General features: G+C 50.7%; 1 protein-coding gene and 1 long non-coding RNA gene across 6 annotated transcripts in view, besides 5 other annotated features; both read right to left on the minus strand.

Annotated features, from left to right (window-relative positions):
* The window catches only part of CLMN (calmin), a 137,969-nt gene extending 127,090 nt beyond the window's left edge, over positions 1-10,879 (minus strand). For 4 of the 5 annotated variants that reach the window (NM_024734.4, XM_011537158.2, XM_011537159.3 and 1 more), the window contains exon 1: positions 10,682-10,879. In NM_024734.4, coding sequence (NP_079010.2) covers positions 10,682-10,763 — 82 coding nt within the window. In that variant the 5' untranslated portion in view covers positions 10,764-10,879. Of the gene's footprint in view, positions 1-10,209; positions 10,578-10,681 lie in introns of those variants that run through there. The other variant, XM_017021646.2, reaches the window with a different exon arrangement.
* Positions 5,830-5,889: a silencer, noted in NCBI's record as "silent region_6044". NCBI's record gives its function as "represses an Ori minimal core promoter by ATAC-STARR-seq in GM12878 lymphoblastoid cells {active_cell/tissue: GM12878}" and the evidence as "EXISTENCE:reporter gene assay evidence [ECO:0000049][PMID:35858748]".
* Positions 9,750-9,869: an enhancer, noted in NCBI's record as "active region_8954". NCBI's record gives its function as "activates an Ori minimal core promoter by ATAC-STARR-seq in GM12878 lymphoblastoid cells {active_cell/tissue: GM12878}" and the evidence as "EXISTENCE:reporter gene assay evidence [ECO:0000049][PMID:35858748]".
* Positions 9,890-9,969: an enhancer, noted in NCBI's record as "active region_8955". NCBI's record gives its function as "activates an Ori minimal core promoter by ATAC-STARR-seq in GM12878 lymphoblastoid cells {active_cell/tissue: GM12878}" and the evidence as "EXISTENCE:reporter gene assay evidence [ECO:0000049][PMID:35858748]".
* Positions 10,600-10,859: a silencer, noted in NCBI's record as "silent region_6045". NCBI's record gives its function as "represses an Ori minimal core promoter by ATAC-STARR-seq in GM12878 lymphoblastoid cells {active_cell/tissue: GM12878}" and the evidence as "EXISTENCE:reporter gene assay evidence [ECO:0000049][PMID:35858748]".
* LOC105370637 (uncharacterized) lies at positions 17,140-19,843 on the minus strand. Its single transcript, XR_944171.3, has 2 exons — positions 18,807-19,843; positions 17,140-17,808 (listed from the first exon to the last, which is right to left on the minus strand). It is a non-coding gene; the product is annotated as an uncharacterized LOC105370637 (long non-coding RNA).
* Positions 18,841-18,910: an enhancer, noted in NCBI's record as "active region_8956". NCBI's record gives its function as "activates an Ori minimal core promoter by ATAC-STARR-seq in GM12878 lymphoblastoid cells {active_cell/tissue: GM12878}" and the evidence as "EXISTENCE:reporter gene assay evidence [ECO:0000049][PMID:35858748]".
* Positions 19,844-20,061: the final 218 nt, after the last annotated feature.

The raw sequence follows: 20,061 nt of genomic DNA on the forward strand, positions 1-20,061 counted from the left end.
TTGTGGGGCTAATCCCGCGTTCAGTCAAGGAGGGAGAGGGAGGCTAGGGAGGTTGGAAACACAGACGACATCATTCAACAGCACTGAAACAGTGAGGCAGGATTAGGACTTTTCTTTCATTCTTTGGCAACTGAAGTCCCTTGTAAGTTGCATGTCTAGCCTGGGACTTTCGATATGTGATGTAATAAAACCAAAAGTCGGAAACTGTCTATAAACCCATATTTTAATGATGCTCTCTTGTTTTCTAAATAAACTGTGATATTTCACATCAAGTAGAAGATTGTTTACCCAACACAACCAGGACTCAGCTTGCTCTAGGGTAACGGCATTTCCAGGGTTCATGGATCTCCACTCCAAAAGTACACAAGGATTAGAACAGAGATGTTACTGCTGCCAGAACATGTTCAGTCCCAAAATCCACACAACAGCGTATGCAACTAGAGGACACGACGATGCCACCCTCTTTGTCCCAGGGCCACAGGGCATAGATGAGATCACCATGACACAACGACACCACCTTCTCTGGCCTCCTAGGTAAAGAGTCTGTTGGCTCAAGCCGGACTCTCCCTTCCTCTTAAAGCCCACTCCTGCCCTTTGTCAGGAAGCCTCCCCGAGTTCTCCAGCCAGGTGGTGGCAGCCCTATGACCACAGCCCTGGTCTGTGCACTCTCAGCTAAAGCTTGCTGCCCCCACCCTGGTCTCCACCAAACTCACAGAGAAACCTACAGGGCAGTCCAGCTGTGCAAATATCTCCCCAATGTGTCTCTTCTATGGAAGCAGAGAAGGCTTGACAGCCATTTGTTATTTACTTGCGTATGAGATTCCTGTGGCTGCTGTGACAGATTACCACACGCTTAGTGGCTGAAAACAACACAAATAAATTCTCTTCTAGTTCTGAAGGTCAGAAGTCTGAATGGGTTTTACCAGCTAAAACCAAGGTTACAGGCAAGGTTCCTTCTCGAGATTCCAGAATCCAGGTCTTCCCTTTTCTGGCTTGTAGAGGCCTGATATGGTTTGGGTGTGTGTCCCCTCCAAATCTCAGGTTGAAATGTGATCCGCAGTGCTGGAGGTGGGCCCTGTGCTGGCTCCCCTTCCCTTCTGCCGTGATTGGAAGCTTCCTGAGGCCTCCCCAGAAGCAGATGCTGGCACCACACTTCCTGAACAGCCTGCAGAACCATGAGCCAATTAAACTTCTTTTCTTTATAAATTACCCAGACTCAGGTATTTCTTTAGAGCAATGCAAAAACGACCTAACACAAGGTCCCTGCATTCCTCGGCTCCTGGTCCCATCCTGCAGCAGCACTGCTCTCAACTCTGCTTCCATGATCACATCTCCTGTCTCCCTCTCTCTCTGACCCTCCTGCTTCCTTCTTATAAGGAGGCTTGTGATTAGTTAGGTCCACTTGGATAATCCAAGATAATCTCCTTATCTCAAGATCCTTCACTTAATCATATCTGCCAAGTCCCTTTTACCAAGGAAGAGGACATATTCACCCGTTTGGGGGATTAGGATGTGGACATCTTGCAGGGGAGGCATTGTCCAGCCTACAACGCTTCTAAAGACCTGCTCCATGTTAGGGGCTGGCAGGACAAAGATTCGTGCACCTCACTCAGGGCTCCACTCAGAGGCGGGCTCAGAGGGCATCTGTGAAGCCCCTGGGAGTCCAGATCACAGGGCTGTGAGTTCTGTCCAGGAGGGCACACACAGGGCCCAAAAAGGCTGTTCTGGGCATGGTCACAGTCATTCTCTGCAGAAGGGACCTCGTGGACAAAGGCACAGCAAGGGTAAAGGGCGTGGCCTGTGGGCAAACCCGGAAGACACCTGGGTGCAGCTGTGGCCCAGTTCCTTCAAGGAAGGCCAGGAGAGGTGGGGGCAGAGCACACAGCAGCACTTCTTCCCAGGGGCAAAGAGCCCTGGTGGAGAGATGGATGGGGTGCGAGAAAAGTCTTTGGGTTGCAGGGCCGGAGCAGGACGGGCACACTGGAGGCAGCATAGACAGTGGTTGTGGCAACTAACAAGGAGAATGTGTGCAAAGGAGGCAAACGTGGGAAGGCCCAAATGAGACAGACATTCAGGGCCAGGACTGACGGGACACGGGAGGCGAGGGAAGAGGCGCATGAACAGTGCTATCTGAAGGTTCAGGTTCCTCCACCACCAGATTGGCAGGTCACCTCCGAGCCCCCTCCCCACCCGCCGCCCCAGTTCTCAGCTGGAAGGGCTCAGAACACTGCTTTTAAGTATGTCATACCATAGAGGATTAAAAATAGTTTTAAAAAGGAGAGGGTTATAAATATCGCAAAGCCTCCTGGCTGCATGGAGAACCCCCCAGGAGAGGAAAGCAGGGGTGGGGCGTGCCTCCACCATCGGAGCCTGGGGTCCTTCCAGTTAGACCGGGAGGTCTGCAGTTCTGCAGGAGCTGAAAGTAGTTCTGGTCAACACCAAAATGACCCCAGGACTTCTGTAAATTCCCCAAATCCTAACAACCCCAGGGCCTTTGTAAATTCCCCAAATCCTGCTTGCTTTTTCTGTGCCTTGGGGACACTGGACCACAATCTCCAAGAAGCACTAGAACACAAGGGAACCAAATAAAAAGAGGGACAGAAATAAAAGGTGAAGGTCAACTGCATGGGCCCGTCTGGGACGCACCATCCTGCATGCCCCGACCCAACCCTGGCTTCCGTCCTGCTGAGGAGCTTGCTGGGGCTCTCCCTGACCCCATGGCCCCCCACCACATGCTCCCCTACCCTGTGGGTTCATGGGACAGATTTTCCTCTGTACCCCATCCTCTGCCACCTTCTTCATTCCAGGGATACAGAACATAGAGGCGACCACTGTGACATGACATCACCACATTCTCTGGCCTCCTGGGTAGACAATCTGTGACTCATGCGGGCCTCTTCCTTCCCCTTGAGTCCCACTCTCCTGCCCTCTGTCGGGAAGCCTCCCCGGGTTTCTATGGCCAAGTGGTGCCAGCCCCGTGACCAGAGCCCTGGTCTGTACACTCTCAGCTCAGGCCTGTTGCCGCCACCGTGTTCTCCACCAAACTCACAGAGAAACCTACAGGGCAGTCTAGCTGTGCAAATGTCCCCCTCAAGACTGGACTGGGCCTCCCTCCCCACCCTACACTCCTGCAGGACCCACGGTGAGCACCCACAGTTCCTACACGCTGATCTCAACCTCACCATAACCCTATCCTCTCTGTACTGAGAACTCCTAGCATGTCCCATTCACCCACCCCTCCATCCCGAGCTCCCAGAATTTCAGGGGGACTGGACAACTGTTATTTGACCAAAGGACCAGGCTTCAAGTGGGTAAGCCCATTTCTAAAGCAGATTTAAAACGTACCCCAGGCAGTCTGGCACCCTTTGGAGAAGAAGGCTGGGCTGCCACACATACAACAAGCATTCCCTGCTGTCATCACGAGAAGCACCTTCTACTTGTCACGTGCCCTGGGTCTGGGTTCAGAAAATACAGTTCCTAACTTTCTACAGGAAGTCCTCCAGATTGCTGTATTCTGCATAGCAGCCTGATACTTGCTGACAAGGACCCATTTCCTACTCCGTAGGGAGGCTGGCCGGCCTCACCCCACGAACCTGATTCCAGCCTTCCAGGCCCCTATATTCACATACTGCTGCTGGAAAGAAGAGTGATTCCTTGTCCACAGATGTTGGGGCTTTCTTCTGGATAGAATCAGACGTGGGATAACAATGACCAGGCAAGTGTGGGAGGCACGTGGCAGGGGTTCCAAGATAACACCTTAGTTCTGGGATGTGGGGGCATCTTGACGGCTTTCATCCTGGGCTGCTGTTCCAAGGCAGAGCAGCTGACTTTAGCAAAAACATCACTGACAGACATACACACACAGAGAGATACACACTAAAAATACACATACACGGCCAGGTGCAGTGGCTCACACCTGTAATCCCAGTACTTTGGGAGGCCAAGGCAGGTGGATCACCTGAGGTCAGGAGTTCGAGACCAGCCTGGCCAACATGGTGAAAGCCTGTCTCTACTAAAAATATAAAAATTAGCTGGGCATGGTGGCGCATGCCTGTAATCCCAGCTACTCGAGAGGCTAAAGCAGGAGAATTGCTTGAACCCAGGAGGCAGAGGTTGCAGTGAGTCAAGATCACACCATTGCACTCCAGCCTTGGTGACAAGAATGAAACTCTGTCTCAAAAAAATAAAATAAAAATTAAAAACACACATACACACACCACTTTTCTTTTGCTGAGAGCATTTTACTAACACTTTTCTCCATTTCTGTCTTCCTCTTTTTCTACACTGGGCTGGATGATACATATTTTTGGTTTTGTGGGTACTTCTTTGCCTCAACTACTCAGCTGTGCCCTTGTCCTGCAAAAGCAGCTATAGGCAATATGCAAATAAATGGGTGTGTCTATGTGCCAATAAAACTTTATACACAAAAAGAGGCAGCAGGCCAGATTTGGCCTGTGGGCCGTAGTTTGCAAATCCCTACTCCGATAGAAAGAAAGTAGGAAAAGAAGACCTGGTAAGGAAGAAAAAGTCCATTTTTTGATGCTGCACTTATGATTTCTGATGCTGCCTCTAATTCCTTCTGTGACTAACGCAATCTACCACTGTTTAAACAAAAAAAAAAAAAAGGCATGGGGAAAGAAAAAAAATTTATAAAAAGGTTTCTATGGGAACAGGGAGTTCACTTTTAATGGTTCAATCACAAAAAAGACAATTACTTTATTTTTCTCTCTTCTTCTCAGACATAGGGCAGATGTGATCTATGGCTTGTCGGGCAGAGGGACTTTGTCCAGAGCCTCAGCTATTTCAGTGAAAAATTAAATGCCAGAGTGTTCCACAGGTCAGGGAGGGCAGTTTATGAAATCTGGGCCTCTTGGGCAAAGGGTTGCTTCCCTAGAGCTGCAGATCTGGTGAGACATCCCGCCTCTCTCATGAGGCTATAGGGCCAGCAGGCAGCTCTGGGCTGCTCTGATGCAAAGTCGTGGCTGCTGACACGTGATTCTGTGGCGAAACTTCTTCCTAGGTCTGCTGCCAACTGGACTGAGGGCTTCCCTCTCCCTGCTGCAAAGCCATTTGTGAGATGGGCTTCTGTTTTACCTGGCCCCTGAACACTCTCGTTCCTTGGTACAAACATGCCTGGGTGGAGTCCAGAGCCCCTTGTTTGCCCTGATGGCGGGCTGGCCACTATACCTCCCTAGGTACCTTCAACTTGACAGCCAAGGACAAGCCAAGAATGTACATCATTTACCACGTGTACTTGTATAGCAAAGCTTATGAAATGCAACATTTTCTACCCAGGACACTTGGTGGAAGTGAATCTCCAGCACTCCACAGTGAAAAGAATCTAGGATGCAGCCAGCAGTGCTTAGTAGAGCCCAGAGTCACACACCAGCCATCCACTCATGCATGCCGGGCTGGAAGGCAGACGGCTTTAGGTGGGCACCTGCCCAGGCCCACCACTCCTTGACCACCTTCCCAGGGGTGGATTTGAGCCCCAGATAATCCAACCCTCTCATTTTGCAAATGAGGAAACTAAGGAACCACAAGGGAGAGAGATTTTTCAGAATCTCACAGCGAGTTTGCAACAAAGCCAGGACCCTGGCTCAGGCCTTCAGCCTTTGGGTCTTGGTTGTGGCTTCCGCAGCCGCACAATGCTCCACCTGGAAAGGCCCCTCAAGAAAAATCCACACCATGAGATAGGGATGGAGCTGGCACTAGAACACGGCCTTTTGCCTGTTGTAATCAGGAGTGAACTCAAAGCCCGTGGCCTGACCCCAGCCACAGTCAGAAAGAAACTTTCTACATGATGATTCATCCCTTAGAACCAGGCACACAGCCCCAGGGGTAGTGCCCTGGCAGGCAGTTCCTTGACATGAAACCTGTGCATTTGGTTTTCTTTGGGTTTTTATATAGAAACCTTCAGTGCACTTGCTGTGCCCTCTAAGAGCTGGCGGAGGTGGGAACAGGAACGGTCCCTCCTTGGCTCCATCCCTTCTCTGGCTGCTGGATAACGGTGACCATGGCAGCATCCCATCCCACTGCTGTGTGCTCCACTGCTGTGTGAAAGGAAGGTCTAGAGATAGGGAGGTAAAGATGGAGCGATAAGGAACTGGAGGGGTGGGCTGTGGGGGCAGGAATTGTTGGGGAGTTATGGGAGAGAAGGTTGGTGTGGCATCCTGAGCCAGGCCACAGGTGACCTCGCACAACAGGTCAAGGGGCTTGGACTTCATCCTGTAAGCCAGTGCAACCCAGCCTTTTTCTCGTGGTCACATGGGACCATGATACCATTTGTCCTGGGATGGGCCAAAGAGCTGCCCAGGCCCCCACTCTGCTGCCCTTAGCTCATGGGTTGGGAAGCTCTGCTGTAGGTCACAAAACCTACTGGTGGCTTTAGCAACAACATGCTCGAGTGGCTGGGTGGTGGGTGGAAAGCCGTAAAGAAGTCAGTGACTGCGGAGTCCAAGTTCGCATGAGGGACACCTGCACCTGGGCCTGAGCCAGTGGAACAAAAGGAGAAAGTGGGCCACATGGGCCGGGGCTGATCCTTCGGAAAACGCAGGCCCTGCCCTGCCTCTGAGCCTGCCTTGAGGGGATTCCAATCATTTCTCTCCCTTCTGCACTGTGCAACCCAGAACCTACGCAGTCAAGTTTCTGCTTGGCCTTCAAAGTCCAGGTCCAGAATTACAGCATCAAACGCCAAAAGCACCAGAATGACAGGGGATGGCCCAAAGCAGAACTGACCTCTGCACCGCTAGAATCAGAAAATTCAAGCTACAGTCTGGCTGGGTGCCCATGACAGTTTCACGCTCCTGAAAGGCAGAGACTAGAACCAGCTTTCATTCTCCAATGTCTGCAAGATGCTACGTGCTCGACACACATGTGCTAAACTGCTCAGAGAAGGGTTGTGGGTTTTTTGGGTGGTGGAGGCTTCCCACATGAATGGAGCCTTCTTTAAATCCTGGCCTGACACCCCTTTTTGTCCAACAGTACAGTGACCCCCAGAACTGGTGGAACACTGAGCTGGACCCTGAGGCTCAGACAAAGAGGGAGAGGGGGCAGCCAGACTAGCCTGTCTTTCGAAGGACACCAGAGCCCCCAGCCAGGTACGGAACTAAGGCGCAGACCTATTAACACACCACCTCTAACATCAGTTCTAGAAAATATGTCCCTGCCTTCCCACATGGCTCCAAGGAAGCAGGGACCACCTGGCAGAAGCTGCCAGCATCCTGCAATTCCATCTTCTCTTCTCCAAAAAGGTCAACAGCTTGGACCACCCCTGTTTCCTTGCAAGGGACCCTGTGAGGGTGGCACAGGCAGTCTGCCCAGAGGGACATGCCCATGCTCTGCCAGAGGGCTCCTCCTTGACGAACGTCTTTTTGAGCTATGCATGTGAACATATCCATGAACACTGCATCTGCTCAAGTATCAGACACAGGAAGGTGAGTGGCAGGCCTCTTGGGAGGGGCCATCACTCTGCCCAGCTCACCCGGACCTCCAAAGACAGGTCGAGAAATCTTCATTCCAATGTTTTTTGGGGGATGACCTATGACATCACAATCACATTGCATGGATTTCAGAATCCTACAGTTCAGCGTGAGAGATAAAAGCCTTGGATGAGCAAGTGAGCAGAGGCCAAGATACTTCTAAGTCAACTTAAACTTATGGATATATGGAAAGATACAAAGATATAGCTCTATTATTAAACTATTCTTCCCTGAAATGCAATATCCCAGAGGTTGTAAGCTCAGGGCTACCCCTCATTAATGACCCCAGGATCACCCCATCCCAGGGCCCCAAGAGAGTCAAAGCTTTCTGAAAAGAATCAGGAATGCCTGACCCTGACAGCAGCTGCTGCCTACAGATGGAGGCCAGGAATCCCTCTCAATCCCTATGATTAGAGATCTGTAAGATCCCACTGTAGCCCTCCTTCCATCGCCACGACAACTGCGGCTATCTGTGCTGTAAGCAGGCACACAGCTTCAATGGCAGCCCCTCTGCCTGGACTCCTCCTGCCTCCCATAACTTGACTACCCTCTGCACTGAGTTCAGAAGAACAAGGCCCCTGCTGGTGGCCCCCAAAGTCGATCATCCAGGCACATCCCGGGCCATCTGACATCTGACAGCCAGTTATGGCAGATGCTCTAACTAAGCTCGGCGTGGAGCACCTTCTGGACTCGGCCCTTTGGCTGAGACTTCCTGAGTACCACAGGAGCAAGGAGAGAAAATGCCTATTAAGCATTCAGTCAAGAGACTGACCAAAGGAAAAATCAAGAGAAGGGAAAAATCAAGAGAAGACAGATGCCTGCCCCCATCTCCACTCCCAGCCTCTTCTCAGCAATGCTAAGCAAAGCACAACGCCCGACACGGTAACTCTACAGTGCTAATGCCCCCAAAAGACACGGACAGCTTCATTCATTCATAATAGCCCCAAACTGCACACAACCCAAAGGTCCCTCAACAGGTGAATGAATCATCAAACAGCGGGGCATCCATACCATGGAATAGTACTCAGCAAGAAAGGAAGTCCAGATACAGGCGAGAGCACAGAGGAATCACACCAGCACAATGCTGGGAAAAAAAAAAAAAAGGCCAGAGTACATACTGTATGATCCAGTTGTATATCAGGTTCTAGCGGCAAAACTAACTTTCAGTAATGGATCAAGTTTGCTCCCTTGGTGGTCAGGGGGCAGTGTTATTGGCTGAGAAAGAAGATGAATCGACCATCTAGGGTACTGGAAATCTACATCTTGATCTGGGTGGTTGTTACATAGATGTACTCATACATAAAGTTTTGTTGAACTTAATAAGTGCACATTTAAACATATACATACATTTAAAAATTTATTTTTTTAATGGCAAAGCCTGTTGATGCTTAAATTGTAACTGATGTTTGCCTAAAAGTGAGGACAGTTCACTGGGAGCTGAGGGAGAGGAGCCTACTCAGTGAACTCCTACCCAACCTCCAGGACCCATCTCAAATTGTCCCTATTCTGTAAAGCCTTCTCCCACCGTTCTGGTTGTAACCTAATGTTCATATTGCGGGGCATCTCTTCACAACAATCAATCTTCTCTAAACCAGGAGCTAATCCTAGAGGAATGCAGGAACTTGTTGCACGAAGCATTGGTTAGTATGTGCTTATTAAACACTCAATGGTTGCCTAAGACAGACAGGTACACACACTCACACCCTCACAGTCCAGCAGAAGACACTAATGCCCACCCCCAAACAGGATGTCAGTTCTTCTCAGGCAACAGGATCCAGGCACTTGGCTTATTATCAAAAGAGATCACTTTCAACATCCCAGCCCAAGCCTCCTCCTTTAACACAAATCACAGCCAGAAGAGATCAGAGCGGCCCAGAGCAAACTCAGTTTCCAGTGTCCACCCCAGGAGGCTCCCCAGTCCTTTTGAGGTCACCTCTGCCGGCACTGTCCTTGCCCAACCTAGGGGTGGGGCAGACCCTGGGCTCCCAGGAAACATTCAATCAGGTGTAATGTTTAAACTTGACTGCTCGGCCATCCCCCAGCGCTGGGGCTCCCTACCCTATAACAGTAAAGTCGCTGCCCTGGCTGGGGGAGGGCACCCACAGCCCCATCGCCTCTCTGCCCAGGCCTCCCAGCTCGCTCCTAGCCACTCCTAACCTTGAACCCTCTAGAAACCCAAGCCAGCAGGGGAAGCAGCTACAGAAACTTCACCTGCACAGGTCAATGTGGGTGAAGAAGGGCCGGAAGTGGTGTTCTGTCTAGTTCTGCAAAGCCCATATATGAAAAAAAAGAAGCTGGAGATACAGTTCCATGAAGAACACCTGTCTGTTGGGTGGATAGGTTGTGGAGGGGAAATTATGGGTGACTTTTTTCCTTCAAATATTTTTGTGCTTTCTAAGTTTCCACATTGAATAAATTCTTTTGAAAGAGAAACACACTTCATGTGTGGCACCGCCATACCCAGCCGCTCTCCACCACTGGAGTTTCTCTTTCACCTCTTCTCAGCTACCTCCCAGGTAGAAGCCTTGGTCCCAGTGTCCTGTGCCCAGGCAGGGTCGGAGTTGGGGGCCAGCGTGGGGGAAGGGTGGGGCTCTCGCCCTCTCCCCAGTTAGAGTCCTGATCCTGCAGGGGAGGGGCAGCTCCCTAAGCAAAGTGGCCGCTGGAGTTGGGTGCTTGCCTGACCCCACCGATCCGATCCGCACCCCTGGCCCCGCTTTCCCCAACTCACCCCCTGAAGCGCCGCCCACCATTCAATTCCCCTTGCCTCGAAGGTACTTAGGAAGTGCGCGAACTCACACACACACACACACACACACACACACACACACACAGAGTCGCACTGTCTCCTCCCCTCCCTAACCTGGGCCACCGCCCCCAAGAGCCCACGTACAAACTTCTCCAAACTCGCAGCGGTGACTGGAGGGGGTGGTGACGTCCCCCTAATGAAAATGCGAGCCCTCGCCCCACAACACACACACGTGTGGCGCCCCACCCCCTGGGCAACTGTAAACCTGGCCGCGGCTGGCCGCCCTGGGGCTTGGGGGCGGGTATCCAACCCCAGCCTCCCACCTCGAGGCAAGTGACAGGAACAACGAGCGGCCGGCGAGCGGGGGCGGCGCGGGGGAGTTGCCAAGTGTCGGAGCGGCGCCCCGGGCCCCCCGAGCGCCCAGCCATCCCGGGGCGAGCCTGGGCTGCGTTACCTTGCAGGTTCTGCACTCGGATGTCGCTAATCTGCCCGATGAGCTCCTCGCGTTGGAACCAGTCCCACTCGTGTGCAGCCATGAAGCGCGGGCGGGAGAGCCCGGGCCAGCGCGGCGCGGGCGGCGGGCGCGGAGAGCCTGGCTGGCGGGCGCGCGAGCGGCACGCACCCGGCGAGGGCGCCGCGGAGCTGGAGTCGCGGCGGGCGCGGGCGGGGCGCGGGCGCGGGCGGGGCGGGGCGGGGCGGGGAGGGGCGGGCGGCGCGGTCGGGGCCGCCCCCGCCGCGGGCTGGCGCGAGCGAGCGCGGGGCGGCGGGTGCGGGGCGGCGGGCTCGCTCTCACTCCCCCGTGCGGGGGCGGGGGCCCTGAGGAGCGAGGGGCGAGGGGCGAGGGGCGGGGCGGGGCGGGGCAGGGGCGGGAGGCTGGGTCAGGCCAGCTTGTGTTTTTTTTCTTTCCGGGGTGTTTGTAGGTTGGATTGTTTGGTTACAAACCGGCTGTGATGAGGCGCGGGTCCCGGCCCCCAGATTGTGATGTCTCAGGGGGCGGTGGGCCGGGTGACGCAACTGGGGGTGGGCCCGTGGGTCCCAGTACCTGGTCCAGGAGGCAGCGTCTCCCTCCCGTCCGGGATAAGACACCCCCTCCGCGGGTCCCCTGTCCACTCTGGAGAGGCAGCCCCCACTTGGAGGGACCAGGACCCGAGCCCTGCCCATCCCCGAATCCTGGGAGCCCTGCGTGGGGAGTGTCGAGGGCCTGGGTCGGGGGGCAAACTAGTGTGGAGGTAAAGTTGTGGGAGTCTCCAAAGTGCGGGGGGGCTGTGAAAGAAGGGCCTTCTTCGTTGGTTTAGATACTAGGAGCCTTTTCCGGTCCAGTAATGTGACTCCAGCTTCTAGGAAGGAACAAGAAGCAGGCCAACTCCTAGGAGCTGGGGTACGCTGTGGGGTCTCTGGCCACTGAGTCTCCAAGTGACCCTCTGTGGGGTCACTGGAAATTAGTGAAAATGCCAGGACAGAACTTCCTGTGGAGACTACTGAAAATGCCAGGACAGGCCTTCCGGTCCCCTCCCTCCCCACCTCCACTGTTGAACTCTAGAGAATTCCAGGATCTTATCCTGTTTGGTGCCCACCATGTGGTTTACACTCCTTAAAAGTGAGACCCTACAGTTACCGAATTTGCCCAAGGTTGAGGAATGACTTAGGAGCAGGAAGTCCCAGCCCCCTGCTCCCAGCTCAGTGCTTGGGCCCTTTCTGTGACAACTAAGGCCACAAAGAAAATGGCTTTAAATATTCAGTGTTCCAAGAGGGGGAAAAAAATGGACAGGGCTCACTGGGCATTTAAACACATGGGCCTGTGTGCATCGCTGCTCTGTTCACAGCAATGAATCCCGGAAACCCGGCTGCTCACTAATTACCCAGTAACTATGGAGGTCCCCCGAAGGACAGACCTGTGCCCTTGAGGCAGGGCCCTGAAGGAGGGTGAGTCTACCCTCCAGTCATCCATTGGGGCAGGGGCTATCGTGTGGCCCTTAAACAAGGAAAGGAGATTTCTAAAGTGGACTCCAGAAAGGAGAAAGTCAATTTGGGTTAAGGAACTGTGAATGCGGGTGGAGGGCAGCAGAGGTCTCTAAAGACTGACCTTGGAGCTGAGCCCAGAAGGAGGAGAGGAACCCCCACAGGGACAGCAGTTTGGGCGGGGAAAGGTGGGATCAGTGGAGACAGAAGTGGAGGCCCCATTAGGGGCTCCTTGGTGCTTGGGCTTGAGGCAGGAGCTTCCTTGCTGCTGCCTTGATTCTTAATCTTGTGGTCATTTCACACTCCAAGGAGCAGGATCTCTTTCTGCGTCCTGTGGAGCCAGGGTGGTAGTAGCAGCCAGGCTAATTTTGCCCCATCTGCTAGCCATCTCCCTGTTCTTACACTTCAATTTATTTTCCATAATTGCTGTGGGGTGAAGTTGTGCTGAAAACCATTTTCTTTACAAAGCAGAGAGCTAAGAGAATCAGCCTTCTTCTCCATCATGAGAGAGGTTGCAGGGAATCTGTCTTTAAGCAATGTGCCCTGTGGATGTTAGCTACAGGGTTGGGCCATTTTTCATGATGCAAAGATGTCTGATCCTGGGAATGGACAGCCACATCATTTGGGGAACACTACCCAGTCAGCAACAGCTCCCTGGCAGGGAGGGACTATGATCACCATCGATTGAGCACCAACTGTATACCAGTTGTTGGACGACTCTCAGCCTAAAGAACTTCTTTGCTTTTCAGTAAGGTGGAAAGAATTTTAGGTGTTTTTCAAAAAGGAATAGAAGCCAGTATTGAGCATGAGGCTGGCCTCTAAAAGGTACTTGAATATTCATTGAACTCATGTGTCAATATCACCCCTGTTTCCTAGAGTGTCTCTGGGCTCCTCTGTGGGGCACACTAAGTCATCTGTGATTGATCTGTGCCCCTCAATCCTGGCTCTACACTTTTTGACCCAGCAGTGCTGAGCTGCCTCAGGTCCTGGCCACATCCAGTCACTTCCAGACCTTTGCTCATTTGTCCCCTTTGAAACGCCCTTCCCCTGCTCCCTGCACTTCACCTTTACCTAGCTTACTCCTGCTTAATCATGTGCACCTCAGAGACTTCTCCAACACCACTAGGCTCAGCTGGGTGCCTGTCTTGTACAATTCCCGTAATATTAAGTACAATCACATAATATTCCATGAACTCTGCAATTCTGTTTCCTGATTGCATCGTACTACAATTATGTTTACTTGACAGTTTTCCCCAATAAATTGTGAAGTACGTGAAAACAAGGGCTGCTCTGTGTCTGGCACAGGGAGAGGTGTCGAAATTAAATGGATGGATGAATGAATGACTCTCACTATAGGCCTGAACCCAGAAACCAGGGGACCAAAGTGAAAAAAACAGTTGACCTTCATGTCCAAGGCCCCAGTACGCTCCTGGAAAGGTGATTTTAAAAAAGTTTGCATATGTGCGATAGGCAAAGCACGTGCTTTTGGGAACCAGGTACATACCAATCTATGATATGTCCCTTCCTCTGGGTGTGTGCAGCCTCCTGGATCTGGAGTTCTGGCTGGGAGAGAAGGGTGTGTGACTTTCAGAAGGAATTAGGTATTTGGCATCTTGCATGAATCAACAGTACTCTTTTTCTTTTGCACTTCTTTGGGGGAAGGAGAAGTATTCTGCCTGAAGGCTTGGCTTCCTGGGAGTTTCCAGAAACTGAGTTTATAGAAATTGCCCAATTCTGCTAGAATCCTTGTCATTGTTTACAACCGATTTCTGCTGAGGGAAAGGACTTGGAGTCAGAGAATTGTAGAGAATCCCCAAAATGAACCTTAAAGATCGCTAAGTCTAACATCTCTTCCCATGTAAGGGCTTCTAAAACATGGTCCAGACAGGTCCAGATTCCCTGCAACCTGTCTCATGATGGATGGCCCAATGGTCTTCCTGCCTCTGCTTATGGGAACTGATGAATTCTGGCAGGAAACCCAGGTAGAGGTTTGCATCTCCTCATCCCAGACCCACTTTGGGGAAGAATAGGACAATGAAGATAAGCCCAGCACACCCTCCCAGCCACTTCCGGGAGAGGAGTGTGTTGGGGGCTGTGGCAAGGGGGATGCTGCCTTCTCTGGTCACGGCCTCAAGCCCTCACATGTGTACAACCCTTTAGGGTTTGGACAGCCCTTTCTTAGCCAGTGTTCATCTGGTCTTTGCAGTGACTTCATGAGGCCAAGGAGGCAGGGATCAGTTTTAGACGGGGTTTAAAGCTAGTAAGTAACCCATCCAAGATCGCAGAGCAAGGCAAAACCAATCTTTGTCCTGTAGCTCTTACCGCCTACCCACATCTCTCCCAAATATGACTGCATAAGGGCTCATGCTATGGGCCAGATTGACGCTTCGTAATTGGTATTAGTCATATGTTTATGTTGTATTTTTTAAAAAGTCTTAACTCCTTTAAATCAGAGTGCTCATATAAAAATCTTTAGAAATTTCAAATTAAGTCCGATTAAGTGATGATAGTGGATCCTAGCTGGATTGACCAATGATTGTCCTTCAAATGGACCAAAAACCTCTCCTGGGCAGGGGGCTTGCATTATGATGTCACCAGACTGCACTGTATCATAAAGACCCCCTGGAATCATTGGTCACCCAGGGTCTGGCCCTGTGCTAGCACCCAACTGTGAACAAGACCCAGAATCCACCTGTGAGGAGGGAGTCCAACTCTCTACAGTGTAGCCTGCCTCTGCTTTTTAGACCTTATCGAAAGGACATCAAGGAGCTTTTGGAGGACTTAAACAGGGATCAGATTGTCCCTTTAGTTGTGGTGTGGAGAAGTGATCAGAGGAGTGAGGCAGGCTGTCAGGCGGCCCTGCTGGCCTCGGTGATACAGGTGTCAGGCAGTGGCGGCCTTCGCCGGAGTGGTGGTCATGGAGATGGATTCTCCAGCTGTTCAGGCAGTGGAATTAGCAGTACCTGGCAGCTGGCTGAGGAATTTGGCAACGCCCTGTCCACACACTTTTGCTTCTAGGACTTCTGTATGTCTGTTACACCCACTATACTGCAAACTCCTCAAGAATGCCTTGCAAGCAGAGCTGTCTAATTCATCTGTGCATCGCCAGAGCCCAGCACCGTGCTGAGCACATAGTAGGAGCTCAATAAATGTTAGTTGCATACGTGAATAAACAAATATTTAAACTTCACCAAGCAGTAACTCCTAATACTCATTGAGTGCCAAGCTCCTCAAGAGAGTCAGGGTCTCATCTGTGCTTGGGAATGCTGGGTGTCAGCCTGTCTGCTGAGGTTTTGCCTGCTAAACTTTTCTTACCCATTGCTACCTACCTCCAGGAATCCTGTGGGATATAACGCAAAGGCTGGTAGCAGAGAGAGATGCTGAGACATAGAAAGAATCCAGGCTCAGCTGGACGCGGTGGCTCATGCCTGTAATCCCAGCACTTTGGGAGGCTGAGGCCGGCAGATCACGAGGTCAAGAGATGGAGACCATCCTGGCCAACATGGTGAAACCCTGTCTCTACTAAAAATACAAAAATTAGCTGGGTGTGGTGGTGCACACCTGTAGTCCCAGCTACTCGGGAGGCTGAGGCAGGAGAATGGCTTGAACCTGGGAGGCAGAGGTTGCAGTGAGCCGAGATCACACCACTGCACTCCAGCCTGGGTGACAGAGCGAGACTCTGTCTCAAAAAAAAGGAAAAAGAAGAAAGAATCCAGGCTCAGGCAAAAGAATGGTGGGTATGGTGCAGTAGACAACAGACAGAAGTGGCTACTCATGAGCTGTGTGAACTTGGGCAAGTTCCTAATTAATTTTGGCCTCTGTGCTGTCATCTGTAAAATGGGGCCCGGTGTCCCTACCTGGAAGGATTGTGTGAGATCAAAGCTGTGCATATAGAGAAGAGATTTTCAGTGAGTCTCTTTGGTAAGAGTCAGATCATTTCCATCGTACAGAGTGAACAACATTCAGAAGAAAAACTTGCCCTGAACTTGGGAGATTACCTATAAGTAAAAGATTAATATATTCTCTGAGATTTTATTAGTTTTTTTGGCGTGTGTAGGTGTTGGTGGGTGGTTAAAAAAAAATCCTGCTTCCCTAAGTAGACAGCACCGGATGCCCCAATTTCCACAAATAAAACCCTTCATTTCTTCCAGGTTTGAACAAAGGCTGCTTCCCTAGAGACAGCTCTGCTAATTTTTTTTTTTTTTGCAGACATTAGAACACTATTTAAAGAGTGTACATCTCCTAGTGAAGCAAATGATAAACTTTCCCACCTACAAAGTGTGAGATATTGGCAATGTAAAGATGTGAAGAGAGATACGGTACTATGGAGGGAGAGAAAGCCCTGTGTATGAGATATTTGCAACAGCATTGCAGATAGATAGATACATAGATATAATTTTTTAACATTTGGAATCAAAAGCAAACTTTATGGCTAATAGTCCCAGGAAGCTCACGCCTATAATCCCAGCACTTTGGGAGGCCAAGGAGGGTGGATCACCTGAAGTCAGGAGTTCAAGACCAGCCTGGCCAACATGGTGAAACCTCATCTCTACTAAAAATACAAAAATTAGGCAGGCATGGTAGTGGGCACCTGTAATCCCAGCTACTCGGAAGGCTGAGGCAGGAGAATTGCTTGAGCCCAGGAGGCAGAGGTTGCAGTGAGCCAAGATCGCACCACTGCACTCCAGCCTGGATGACAGAGCAAGACTCCGTCTCTAAATAAATAAATAAACAAACAAACAAACAAATACTAAAGTGTGGCACAGATAAAATCCTTGAGCCAGTGCTTCGAGCTGACAATCCTTACATGGACAACTCAATTACAACAGATTTGTTGTGCATCTATTACTGTGCAGCTGACATTGACCAAGAACTCACTATTTCCCAAGGATTGGGCCAAGTGCTTTGTATGTATTATCTAATTTAATCCTCTCAACAACTCTTCCAAGGAGATACGGTTATCATCCTGATTTTATTGATGAGGAAACAAAGGACAAAAAAGTTCAGTAATGTCCCCAAGGTCACATAAGTCATTAGGTTAGCCAAGAAGTAACTGGAGTCCAGGTGTTTTGCGGAAACCAAGTCTGATCTTTCTGCTCTGCAGCAGCAGCCTTTGAGGAGAATAGTTCAAGTTAGAAATTCACTAAGAAATACTTTCAGGCAATTGTTGGTCTTAGGTAAACAAGATCACAAGGGGCAAGTTTTCCCTATTAGGCCAGGAGCAAAAAGTCTCTCCATTGCCCTTTGCAGAAAGCTTTCTTCTGTGTGTGTGAAATGCTGGGGACATTTCTGCCTCTGACCCCTGAGCATCCCAAACACTGTGGCTGTGCTGGAAAAGTATGTATGTTTCCTGCTGTTCAAATTGATTTCAACATGTAGATTCCAAAACAAAGCAAAAACAAACAAAAAGCCTTTATCCAAGCCAGCAATAAGTCCAAATCCATCCTTGGTAGCCAGTGTCATCCAAAGAAGACCCCCACCAACTCTTCCCTTCCCACAGGGGCATGCTGCTCCTCACATGAAACAGGAGAATCTCTTTTCTCCTCCCTTGAAAGTGGGCTGTGATGCAAGACAGGTGAGCCCAAGAATTGGGGCTTAGCTTGGGAGGGTTCTTGGCTTCATCTAGGAAAGAATACAAGGGTGAGCTGGTGGTGTTAATCAGAAACTTTTATTGAAGCAGCAGTGTACAACAGCAGAAACAAAGGCATTGCTCCTTGCAGAGCAGGGCTACCCCATGGGCAGCATACCCAGAATAGTGGCTCAGAGGCAGTTCTGCAGTTGCGTTTATACTCACTTTTAATTATATTGCAAATTAAGGGACAGTTTGAGCAGAAATTTCTAGGAAAAGTATGGTAACCTCTGGATTGCTGGGTCATTGCCATGGAAGGGGGTGGTAACCTTCAGGTGTTGCCACAGCAATGGTAAACTCACATGGCAAACTGGTGGGGTGTCTTATGGGGAAGTGCTTCTGTCCCAACCTGTTTCAGCTAGTCCTCAGTTTGTTCCGGTATCTGAGCCCCACCTTCAGAGTTGAGTCCTGCTTCCTACCTCAGCTGGACTTAATGACTTGCTTGGCTAAGAGAATGTAGTGGATGCAATATTTGGGGGCCCCTGAGGCTGGGTCATAGGAAGCCTTGCAGCGTCTGTCCTAGCCTCTTAGAACACTTGCTCTGGTCACAGGCTTCTTCCATTTAATCAATCTGAGAGTGCCATGCTATGAGGAAGCCCAGTCAGTTGCATATGGGGTGACATAGGTCCCACCAGCCCCCAACTGCTTGAGCCATCTCAGCCCAGGAGCCAAGCAGGTGAGTGAAAAACCCACCTCGGACAAGAGCTCATCTTCAGCCCAGCTGAGCTTTTGGCCTGGCTGGAGCTACAGCCCCAGCTATCACCTGTATCACCTGACTGCAACAGCATGAGAGATCCCATACAAGAATTTCCCGGCAGAGCTCAGTCAACCCCCAAAATCCTTGGAGAAAATCCATTGCATAGTTTTAAGCTGCTCAGCTCTGTCATGCGGTACTAGCTAACTAGAGCACGATCCTCTCCTCTCCATCTCCACAGCATCTTGGTCCCGGCCATGGTCATCTCTCCCTTAGATGCCCTCCACCACCACCTACCTGTTTCCTTGTCCCCCATGGTGGTCTCCAACCTCACTCTCCAGGGTGATCTTAAAATGTCATTGGAGCATGTCACTCCCTGGCCTCCCCCTGCACATCTCTTGAAAATCAGCCTCCTTGCCGTGTTCACAGGGCTTGAGAAATTTTGACCCCTCATCTCATTAGCTCCCCGCTCCTCTTTCAAGCCACCTGTTCCTTTCAGTTCCTCAAAAGAGCTGCTTTTTGTGCAAACCTTATGACCCAAGAATTTCACTGGCGGTCTACACTCACCAGAAGTGTACAAATATCAGCTGGACGTGGTGGCTTATGCCTGTTAACCCCAGCACTTTGGGAGGCCGAGGTGGGTGGATCATTTGAGGTCAGGAGTTTGAGACCAGCCTGGCCAACATGGCGAAAACCTGTCTTCTATTAAAAATACAAAAATTAGTTGGGCATCATGATGCAGGCCTGTAATCCCAGGCCTGAGGCAGGAGGCTGAGGCAGGAGGATCGTTTGAACCTGGGAGGTTGAGGTTGTAGTGAGCCGAGATCACGCCACTGTACTCTAGCCTGGGTGACAGAGCGTGACTCCGTCTTGAAAAAAGAAAAAAAAAAGTGTACAAATATATTCCTTGAAAGATGTGTTCAGGAGTATTCATGGCAGTGTTATTCTCCATAGCCAACACAGCCCAAAGATCCATCAGGAGGAGGATGGGTAAATAATGGAATACGATTTATCAAGAGGAAAAGGAGAGAACAACACGGATGAGTCTCACAACTCTAACATGGGGTGAAAGCAGCCAGATACAAAATAATGCACAATGCAGAGTCCAGTTGAAAAAACGCTACAAAAATAACACAATCTGTGATGAGAAAAGTCAGGATAGTGGTTAGCCTGGGAGGGAGGTGGGAAATGGAAGGAGCGTAAGGAGTGCCTCTGGGGTGCCGGTCATGCTTTGTTTCTCATATGGGTCTGGTCGTACAAGCGTGTTATTCTCTAGGGGGTAGTTTGCCAATTGTACATTTTCTGGCTGGATGTTCAATAAGGTGTTAAAAAAAAAAAAAGTGCTGTCCTATCTCCTTCCAAATGACTTTCCTACACACACCTTCGAAATTCCTCCACCGGGAATTTACTGCTTTCTCTTAGTCTTCTTCTGGTTATTCAGATCCAGCTCAGCCCTCCCCTCCTCGGGGAGCCCTTCCTCTGTTGCATCAGTTAGTCTTGGCTGTGGGGCGATCATACCTACAAGCAAAGCACAGTGACTCAAAGCAGTCTC

The sequence above is a fragment of the Homo sapiens genome, chromosome 14, assembly GCF_000001405.40.
Source record: "Homo sapiens chromosome 14, GRCh38.p14 Primary Assembly".
NCBI lineage: Eukaryota > Metazoa > Chordata > Mammalia > Primates > Hominidae > Homo > Homo sapiens.